At 42.0% G+C, this 11,286-nt stretch overlaps 1 long non-coding RNA gene and 1 pseudogene across 1 annotated transcript; one reads left to right on the top strand and one right to left on the bottom strand.

Moving 5' to 3' along the window:
- Nucleotides 2,249-3,398, top strand: SMCO4P1 (single-pass membrane protein with coiled-coil domains 4 pseudogene 1; annotated as a pseudogene).
- Nucleotides 3,347-7,332, bottom strand: LINC01180 (long intergenic non-protein coding RNA 1180). The gene is made up of 3 exons (NR_110661.1): nucleotides 5,751-7,332; nucleotides 4,268-4,369; nucleotides 3,347-3,687 (listed from the first exon to the last, which is right to left on the bottom strand). It is a non-coding gene; the product is annotated as a long intergenic non-protein coding RNA 1180 (long non-coding RNA).
- Between the last annotated feature and the right edge of the window lie 3,954 nt (nucleotides 7,333-11,286).

An 11,286-nucleotide genomic window follows, 5' to 3' on the forward strand; every position in this document is an offset into this window, starting at 1 on the left:
GAGTGGAAAAAAATGTCATAGTGAGTTCCACGAAATATCTGGCAGGAACAGACCATGCAGAAGCCAACTACACTGACTGAGAGTGAGCATAAGCGAGAGCAAGAGCGAGAAAGAGAGGGAGAGAGGAAGAGAGAGAAGATTTAATTCAAGAGGCGTTGCTGGCCGGGCATAGTGGCTCACATCTCTGTAATCCCAGCACTTTGGGAGGCCGAGGCAGGCAGATCACTTGAGGCCAGGAGTTTGAGACCAGCCTGGCCAACATAGTGAAACCCCATCTCTACTAAAAACACAAAAGTTAGCCGGGTATGGCAGTGCATGCCTGTAATCCCAGTTACTCAGGAGGCTGAGGCATGAGAATCGCTTGAACCTGGGAGCCAGAGGTTGCAGTGAGCCAAGATCAGGCAACTGCACTCCAGCCTGGGCAACAGTGTGAGACTCTGTATCCAAAAAAAAAAAAAAAAAGGAGGTATCACTGAGCTGTGAAAAGAAACTGGCCAGCCAAATCATAGGCTCCCCTCTCAGTCTGATGTTGTATCAATCCTGGATTTGCTTGTCCTCTGAGAAGGAAGTCCCTACCTTTGGAGAAAGAAGCTATTGAACATCTCTCTGTTCTCTTTTGCTAGATCCACCAGTTCCTGTGCAGCTCTAGGAAGGCAAGAACATTTTTGGCTGACTTCTTTGTAGTCTAAAGAATGCATAGGTCAGCTCTTGTAACCCCAAAATACCACTGAGATTTGGGCAGTGGCATATCAAGGAGTTGGGCCTAAAAGCTAAGCAAAGATTGAGAACAAAAAAATAGGAGTAAGTTAAAAGCAGGGTCCTCTTCCAGGGAATATATGAAAGCTGATGGTCTAGAACGGGGATCAGCACACATTTGCCATAAAGGGCCAGATAGTAAATATTTTAGACTTTCAAGCTGCACATCCTTATCACAGCTACTCAGTTCTGCTACTGTAAAGCAAAAGCAGTCATAGATGATAAACAAATAAATGAGTGTGCCCGTGTTCCAATAAAACTTTACTTATAAACAATGAAACTTGAATTTCATATAATTTTTACATGTCAGAGGACATCATTCTTTTTAAAAATTATTTTCAACCACTTAAAAAATGAAAACCATTCTTAGCTCATGGGCTGCACAAAAACAGGTGGTAGGCCAGATTTGGCCCACAGGCTGTAGTTTGCAGACCCATGGTCTAGAACAACGCTGTCCAATAGAAATATGAGAGCTGTTGGGTACAGTGGTTCACACCTGTAATCCCAGCATTTTGGGAGGCCAAAGTGAGATGATTCCCTGAGCCCTGGAGTTTAAGACCAGCCTGGGTAACATGGCAAGAGATCATCTCTACAAAAAAAAATTAAAAATCAGCTGGGCATGGTGGTGTGCACCTGTAGTCCTAGCTACTGGGGAGAATGAGGCTGGAAGAGGATTGCTTGAGCTCAGGAGTTCAAGCATGTAGTGAGCTATTACATCCACTATTACACTCCAGCCTGGGTAACAGAGTGAGACTCTGTCTCTTAGAAAAGAAAGCCGGGCACAGTGGCTCATGCCTGTAATCCCAGCACTTTGGGAGGCTGAGGCAGGCAGATCATGAGGTCAGGAGATCGAGACCATCCTGGCTAACATGGTGAAACCCCATCTCTACTAAAAATACAAAAAAATTAGGCGGGCGTGGTGGTGGGCACCTGTAGTCCCAGCTACTCGGGAGGCTGAGGCAGGAGAATGGTGTGAAATATAAGAGCTGAAGGCAGGCACAGTGGAACATGCCTGCAGTCCGAGTTACTTGCGAGGCTGAGGTGGGAGGATTTGCTTCAGCCTGGGAGTTAGATGTAGCCTAGGCAACATAGTGAGACCCATCTCTAAAAAAATAAAAAGAAAAAAAGAAAGAAAGAAAAAAGAAAAAAATATAATGAGAGCCATATATGTAATTTAAAATTTTCTAGTAATCTCATGTAAAAACTTTTAAAAGGGTAAAATTAATATTTTATTTAACCCAGTATATGAAAAATATGATTTTAATGCTATCAATATGTAAATTACCAGTGAGATATTTTACTTTCTCTGTTTTCATATTAAGCCTTTGAAATCCAGGATGTATCTTACACTTATAGCCCATCTCGGTTCATTCTAAATATATTATAAGAATTCAATAGTTACAGACTGCTAAAGATCAGTAAAGATGTTGTCCATTTTCCCAGCTGCACCATCTGAGAGTGTTGCATGTTGAAGACATGATCTGTTACAACAAATAAGTCAAGTCACCTGTACTGGAAATCAGTTTGCTGAAATTATTGAATCAAGTTGAAGAAAAGGAGGTTCCAGCCTTGACAAGAGGATTGTGGCCCTTTTTGGAATCCCTCTGGACACAGCCTCCCAGCATCTTCTAGGAAAGATGAGGCAGCTCAAAGGGAAGCCCAGGAAGGAGACATGGAAGGACAAGAAGGAGCAGAAGCAAGCCATGCAGGAGGCCCGGCAGCAGATCACCACGGTGGTGCTGCCCACGCTGGCCGCGGTCGTGCTGCTGATTGTGGTGTTTGTGTATGCAGCCACACGCCCCACCATCACCAAGTGAGCACCGCGGCCATCCACGGACCCAGTCGGCAGGGAAAGGAGGCACAGGAGGTAGAAGCAAATGAAAAATGGCTTTCATATTCAGAGATGTTCATGCTGCTGAGCTATAAGCAGGAGCACCCTGTCTTCGCTGCTTTTTTTTTTTTCTTTTTTGAGACAGAGTCTCGCTCAGTCACCCAGACTGGAACGCAATGGTGCAGTCTCAGCTCACTGCAACCTCTGCCTCCTGGGTTCAAGCGATTCTCCTGCCTCAACCTCACGAGTAGCTGGGATTACAGGCACATGCCACCACGCCCAGCTAATTTTCGTATTTTTAGTAGAGACAGGGTTTCACCATATGAGTCAGGCTGGTCTCGAACTCCTGACCTCGGGATTCACCCGCCTTGGCCTCCCAAAGTGCTGGGATACAGGCGTGAGCCACTGCACCAGGCCCTTCTCTGGCCTTTGACTTGATTAAAGTGTCTCTGCTTTTCTTGGGAGGGAGTAGGGGATGTTTTATCAGTGAACGTGCCATATACCTTACGGTCCACTCATATGCCTTTCAGACTTCAAAGCAGTGTGTGTGTGTGTGTGTGTGTGTGTGTCTGTCTTTTTCTCGCCTAAAAATCGATAAGTAGCTCCACCTGAAGAGGGGCAGAACTTCTGGGTCAGGAAGCAGCTGGAATCCACACTCACCTCATCCCCATTATTTGGATCATGCCTCTTTCCAACACGTGTTCACAATCTCCAAAGGGAATGTATTTCCTCTCTGTGCTTAATGTAATTTGAAATATGTTGAATCAAAGTGAAATATTTATTTTTGAATAAAGGAGATAATAGCATTAAAAAATTCAATAGTTAGAAGCTACCATATTGAACAGTGCAGAGCTCTTAGGTTGGTGCAAAAGTAATTGCGGTTTTTGCCATTACTTTTAATAGAACAATGTTTTCAAACTTAAGTTTGCATCAGAATCACTTGATTCTGATTTTAACAGTCGTTAAAATAAAGATTGCTGGGACCCATCCGCAGTTTCTGGTTTTGGCAGGGTGCAAGAACTTCCATTTCTAATAAGTTCCTGGGTGGTGATGATGCTGTTGGTTGAAGGACCACACTTTGAGAACCACTTATCTAGAAGCTGGAGCAGTAAGAAAAAGTAGAAAAGCAATTAGGAGCCAGGGATATGTAAAAGAAAGTGGTTTAAAAAAAAAAAAAAAGTCCGGGCGCAGTGGCTCACGCCTGTAATCCCAGCACTTTGGGAGGCCAAGGCAGGTGGATCATTTAAGGTCAGGAGTTTGAGACCAGCCTAGCCAACATGGTGAAAACCCCATCTCTACTAAAAATACAAAAATTAGATGGGTGTGGTGGTACATGCCTGTAATCCCAGCTACTCGGGAGGCTGAAGCAGGAGAATTGCTTGAACCTGGGAGAAGTAGGCTGCAGTGAGCTGAGATCGTGCCACGGCACTCCAGCCTGGGTGACAGAGTGAGACTCCCTCTCAAAAAAAAAAAAAAAAAAAAAAAAAAAGAACTAGGCCAAGCAAGATGGCTCATTCATGCCTGTAATCCCAGTACCTTGGGAGGCCAAGGTGGAAGGATCACTTGAGCCCAGGAGTTTGAGACCAAACTGGGCAACACAGGGAAACTCCCTCTCTACAAAAAAAAAAAAAAAAAAAACCTAAAAATCAACAAAGCATGATAATGACTAGTCCCAGTTACTTCAAAGGTTGAGGTGAGAGAATCGCTTGATCCCAGGAGGTCGAGGCTCCAGTGAGCTGTGATCACACCACTGCACTCCAGCCTAGGTGACAGAGCAAGACCCTGTAAAAAAAAAAAAGCACTAAACAATGAGATACCACTACACATCTATTACAATGGCTAGGCCAGGCATGGTAGCTCACGCCTATAATCCCAGAACTTTGGGAGGCCGAGGTGAGCAGATCATCTGAGGTCAGGAGTTTGAAAATACCCTGTCCAACATGGTGAAACTCCATCTGTACTAAAAATACAAAAAAAAAAATTAGTTGGGCGTGGTAACATGCGCCTGTAATCCCAGCTACTTGGGAGGATGAGGCAGGAGAATCGCTTGAACCCAGGAGGCGGAGGTTGCAGTGAGCTGAGATCGTGCCACTGCACTCCAGCCTGGGCGACAGAGAGAGACTCCACCTCAAAAAAAAAAAAAAAGAAAAAGAATGGCTAAAATCCAAAATACTGACAATTCCAAATACTGGCAAGGATGTGGAACAACAGGAACTCTCATTCATTGCTGGTAGGAATGCAAAATAGTATAGACACTTTGGAAGATAATTTGGCAGTTTCTTACAAAACTAAATATACCCTTACCATATGATCCAGCAATTGTGCTCTTGGGTATTACCCAAATGAGTTGTAAACTATGTCCACACAAAAACTTGCACACTGGTGTTTATAGCAGTTTTAGTCATAATTGCCAAAACTGAAAGATGTCCTTCAGTAGGTGAATAGATAAACTGTGGTACATCCAATGAAATATTATTCAGTGCTAAAAAGAAATGAGCTATCAAGCCATGAAAATACATAGAGGAACCCTAAATGCATATTACTAAGTAAAAGAAGCCAATCTGAAAAGTCTACACATGGTATGATTCCAATTCTATGACATTCTGTAAAAGGCAAAACTATGGAGATAGAAAAAAAAAAATCAGTGGTTGCCAGGGGTTGAGGGGGGGGAGAAATGAAGAGGCGGAGCATAGAGGATTTTTAGGGTAGTGAAACTATTCTGTATGATACCAAAATGGTGGATACATGTCACTATATACTGTTCTAGACCCATAGAAAGTACACCACCAAGAGTGGATCCTAAAGTAAACTATGGACTTTGATTGATAATGATATGTCAATGTAGGTTCATTGATGATAACATATGTACCATTCTAGTGCAGGATGCTGATATTGGGGGAGGCTGCATCTGTGAAGGGGCAGCAAATCTGTATATGAGAACTCTTTGTACTTCCCTCTCAATTTTGCCATGAACCTGAAACTGCTCTAAAAAATAAAGTCTTTTTTGGGCTGGGCACAGTGGCTCACACCTGTAATCCCAGAACTTTGGGAGGCCGAGGCAGGCGGATCACCTGAGGTCGGAAGTTCAAGACCAGCTTGACCAACATGGAGAAACCCCATCTCGACTAAAAATACAAAATTAGCTGAGTGTGGTGGTGCATACCTGTAATCCCAGCTACTCGGAAGGCTGAGGCAGGAGAATTGCTTGAACCCGGGAGGCAGAGGTTGCGGTGGGCTAAGATTGCGCCACTGCACTCCAGCCTGGGTGACAGAGAGAGACTCCATCTCAAAAAAAGAAAAGAAAAGAAAACAACATTAATTCTCACTTTTGAAGGGATAGCAGGAAGATGCATATTAATATTACAGCATCTTTGATAAAAACCAATCTATTTGGCCGGGCATGGTGGCTCATGCCTGTTACCCTAGCACTTTGGGAGGCTGAAGAAGGAAGATCCCTTGAGTCCAGGAGTCCGAGACCAGCCTAGGAATACAGTAAGACCTTGTCTCTACAATAAATACACAAAATTAGTGAGCATAGTGGCAGGCACCTATAGTTGCAGCTACTCTAGAGGCTGAAGTGGGAGGATCCCTTGAGTGCTGGAGGTCAAGGCTGCAGTGAGCCAAAAAAAAGACCAATGAATTCAAGTGTCTACCCCCTAACCCAAACAGAAGCAGACCCTAAATCTTTCAGGGTGTCATCCTAAGCTAAGTAGAAATCTAAAAGTTTCCTAGAGCACAGATAAGAGTGACCTAGCACTCCAGCCAACCAGAAAGGGAAAAGCAGAACATAAGCTTACTTTCTACAAAGGAAGCAGCTATACAAATTATGCCAGAGAACTAGAAAAACACTAATTTGAGTATCCAAAAGGGGGGAAGTAGTTCCAAATATTTCTAATAAAGAGCATTCTGTAAGCCTTCCAACAAGCTATTAAAGGTTGAGAAAACCTATCTGGCAACCCAGTTAATTTCAGGACACATAATTACAGGAACTTAGTCCCTCAAGTCAGAGATGCCTGTGAGGAATTGCACGGTTTGAATCACAGCAGATTTGCAGCCTATTTAAGTTTTTGGACCACTAGAAAACTGGAAAAACAATTCATTTAATATAGTTGAGAGAATACTTAAAAATCCTACATCAATTCAATTATATACTGACTTAGAATTATATGATTACTTCCTATGGAGGGTTAATTCCCTGGCATTTAGGTTGAGCCCCTACATATACCTTCAATTATCAAAAAAAAAATCAAAACTTTATTTGAACTCAAAGTTTTACTTATGAGAATAATGAAATCTTACTTAGATTAACACTCAAAACATTTCTTGGGGATAGGCTTTTTAAAATGAAACCCATAATTTATTTTTGTTACAAAAGGAAATGTTTACGTCCCTGTTAAAGTATAAAAAGGGTCTCATTAGTGTATCTGAAGAGTACTACATTGTACATTGTCTTCCAGAGGTGGAAAAAAAAAGAAGTTAACTTTTACATATACTTGAAAGGGAAAGTCTGCATTCTGCACTAAGTTTTCTTGAATGGAATAAGTTTAAATTGTCCTCAGTTCTAGCAAAGAATGTTCTTAAATATCTGTCTTTAAAAATCCAATAGTAGGGCCGGGTGAGGTGGCTCACGTCTGTAATCCCAGCATTTTGGGAGGCAGATGGATCATCTGAGGTCAGGAGTTCGAAAACAGCCCGGCCAACATGGTGAAAACAGCATGGCCAACATGGTGAAACCCTGTCTCCGTAAAAATACAAAAATTAGCTGGGCGTGGTGGCGGGTGCCTGTAATCCCAGCTACTTGGGAGGCTGAGGTAGGAGAATCACTTGAACCTGGGAGGTGGAGGTTGCTGCGAGCCGAGATTGCACCATTGCACTCCAGCCTGGGCAACAAGAGCAAAACTCTGTTTCAAGAGAAAAAAAAAATCCAATAGTAATTTCAGATTCACTTAAATATCCCCAAAATAGTAAGTGGAAAAAAAAGTTTTTTACTTGGGAAGCCGAGGCAGGCGGATCACAAGGTCAGGAGTTCAAGACCAGCCTGGCCAACATGGTGAAACCCCGTCTCTACTAAAAATAGAAAAATTAGCTGGGCCTGGTGGTGTGTGCCTGTAATCCCAGCTACTCAGAAGCCTGAGGCACGAGAATTGCTTGAATCTGGGAGACGGAAGTTGCAGTGAGCTGAGATCGTACCATTGCACTCCAGCCTGGGCAACAGAGTGAGACTCCAAAAAAAAAAAAAGAAAAGAAAAGAAAAAGAAAAAGTTTTTTTTACTTGAGGGCAGCATCATTCTGAATTGGATCAAAGTTACTGAAATGTAATTAATCTTATTGTATAAACATGTCTTTCGTCATTGTCCCTGTATAGAAACAATAAATGGAGAAAGAGGGTCAATAGTCTCTCCCTCCACAAAATTTTAAGTTCAGATCAAGGCAGAGAAGACATAAAACAATTATTTGAGTATTCCTAACTCTTTCTCACTTTAATCTGAGGTTTGTATATATGTCTGAGTAAGACTGGGAAACTAACCCCACCCAACCCTCAACACACACGTTGAAAATGAGATCTTCCAAAAGAGAATGAAAGAACTGAAAGAACTAACTACATATTATATACTTACTCTGTTCATAACCAAAATGTTTTCTTTGTTAATGTATTCACTCGAATTCAATAGAGTGTTAAATTTGCCAGTAATTTTTATTTCTACGACAAACCATATTAATACACGACAAGACAGTATGACTTCAAAAAATGAGCCAAGAACTTAAATAGGTATTTCTCCAAAGAAGATATACCAATAAGCACATGAAAAGATGGTCAACATCATTAGTCACTAGGGAAATGTAAGTCAAAACCACAATGAGATACCAATTCACATCCTCTAGGATAGCCATCTTTTTTAAAAAAAAATTTTTTTTGAGAGATGGGGTCTCTCATCTCTCATGCACGCCAGCATGGAGTGCAGTGTCATGATCACAGCGCACTGCAGCCTCAAACTCCTGGGCTTAAGGGATCCTCCCACTACAGGCTCCGGACTAGCTGGGACTACAGGAGCATGCCACTGTATCCAACTGGCTTTTTAAAAAAAAAAAAGAAGAAGAAAAAGAAGAAGAAGAAAGAAAACAAAACAAAAAGGCTGAGTGCAATGTCTCACACCTGTAATTCCAGCACTTTGGGAGGATTGCTTGAGGCCAGAAGTTCAAGACCAGCCTGGGCAACACAGAAAGACCCTGTTTTTACAAAAAAAAAAAAAAAAATATATATATATATATATATATATGTATGTATATATATACATATATATATATTTTTTTTTTTTTTTAAAGAAAGAAAAAGAGACTGGGTGTGGTGCCTGTAATCCCAGCACTTTGGGAGGCTGAGTGGGGAGGATCACTTGAAGCCAGGAGTTTGAGTATTCAGTAAGCTATGATCATGCCACTGTGGTCTACCAGTCTACGCTGGGCAGCAGAGCAAGATCCCATCTCTCTCTCTCAATCTCTGTGTGTGTGTGTATACATATATATATATATACACACACATACAGTAATACATATATATAGTAATTTCAGATTACCATAGATTACTATATATAGATCTATACAGGGATATATAGATATATATAGATCTATAGATATATCTCCCTGTCTATATATAGAGATAGATATATATAGATAGATATACAGAGATAGATCTCTCTATATCTATTTATATCTATCTATATGTATATCTATAGAGAGAGAAATTTTAAAAAGAAAAAATAGGCTGGGTGCAGTGGCTCACGCCTGTAATCCTAGCACTTTGGGAGGCCGAGGCAGGCGGATTGCCTGAGCTCAGGAGTTCGAGACCAGCCTGGGTAACATGGAAAAACCCTGTCTCTACTAAAAATACAAAAATTTAGCCAGGCGTGGTTGTGCGTGCCTGTAATCCCAGCTACTCGGGAGGCTGAGGCATGAAAATCCCTTGAACCTGGGAGGCAGAGGTTACAATGAACCAAGATCGTGCCACTCTACTCCAGGCTGGGTGACAGAGGGAGACTCTGTCTCAAAAAAAAAAAAAGAAAGAAAGAAAGAAAAAGAAAAAGAAAATAACAAGTGTTGGTGAGGATGTGGAGAAATGGGAACTCTCATGCATTGTTGGTGAGAATGTAAAATGGTGCAGCCACAGTGTAAAACATTTTGGAATTACTCAAGACATCGAATACAATTACCATATGTCCCAACAATACCACTCTTAGGTATATACCCAAAATAATTGGAAAAAAAATTAATCAAATACTTGTACACCAATGTTTCTAGCAGTACTACGCACAATAGTGAAAAGTTGAGAGCCAAGCGCGGTGACTCATGCCTGTAATCACTTTGAGAGGTCAAGGCAGGCAGATCACTTGAGGTCAAGAGGTCGAGAACACCCTGGCCAACATGGTGAGATCCCATTTCTATTAAAAATACAAAAATTAGGCGGGGCACGGTGGCTCAAACCTGTAATCCCAGCACTGTGGGAGGCTGAGGCAGGCGGATCACCAGAGGTCAGGAGTTCGAGGCCAGCCTGTCCAACATGGCAAAACCCTGTCTCTACTAAAAATACAAAAATCAGCCAGGCATGGTGATTCATGCCTGTAATCCCAGCTACTCAGGAGGCTGAGACAGGAGAATCACTTGAACCCAGGAGGCAGAGGTTGCAGTGAGCTGAGATCATGCCACTGCACTCCAACCTGGGTGACAGAGCAAGACTCTGTCTCAAAAAAAAAAAAAAATTAGCCAGGTTTGGTGGCACATGCCTGTAATCCCAGCTCCTGGGGAAGCTGAGGCAGGAGAATCATCTGAACGATTCCTCCGATAAGGGGGAGGTTGCAGTGAGCCAAGATTGCGCCTGCACTCCAGCCTGCAGCACAGAGCAAGACTCTGACTCAAAAAAAAAAAAAAAAGGTGGAAACCACCCATGTGTCCATAAACAGATGAATGCTTGAACAAAATGTGGTATATCCATACAATGGAACCTTAGTCAGCCATAAAAAGGAATGACATTCAGGTATATGCTATAACATGAAGGAACCTTGATGACAAGGTTTATTTTACCTTAGTAAAATAAGCCAGGCACAAAAGGATAAATATTGTATGATTCCACTTATATATGGTACCTAGAGTAGTCAAATTCATAGAGATAGAAAGTAGAATGGTGGTTGCCAGAACTGGGAGAAGGGGGCATGGGGAATAATTATTTATGGGATGCTGCAGAGTTTCTGTTTGTGATTAATGAAGTTCTGAAACTGTAGAGCGGTCATGGTTACACAACATTATGAATGTGCTTAATGCCACTTAACCAAACACTTAAAAACGACAAATCTTATGTATATTTTACTATAAAAATACATAAGGGGATTCATAGCTTTTCAAAATGCTTCTAGGGAGTATAGGAGAGGGGGAAAAAGCCAGTAGTCCTCAATGCAATGAGCCCTACACCAGCAACTTTAAGGCTGAGGCAGAGAAATGTAACTGTTAGAGCCACACCACCTGGTCAGCTTTTTTTAAGTGTGTGTGCGTGTGTGTGTGTTTGTGTGTGTGTGTGTGTGTGTGCATGCACATTTTGTTTTTCCTTTTTGTGGAGCACTATATTCCCCAGGCAAATCTCAAACTCCTGGGCTCAATCTATCCTCCTGCCTTTGCTTCCCTAAATGCTGGGATTACAGGTGTGAGTCCAGCAG

Source organism: Homo sapiens, chromosome 17 (genome assembly GCF_000001405.40).
Source record: "Homo sapiens chromosome 17, GRCh38.p14 Primary Assembly".
NCBI classification, from domain to species: Eukaryota; Metazoa; Chordata; class Mammalia; order Primates; family Hominidae; genus Homo; species Homo sapiens.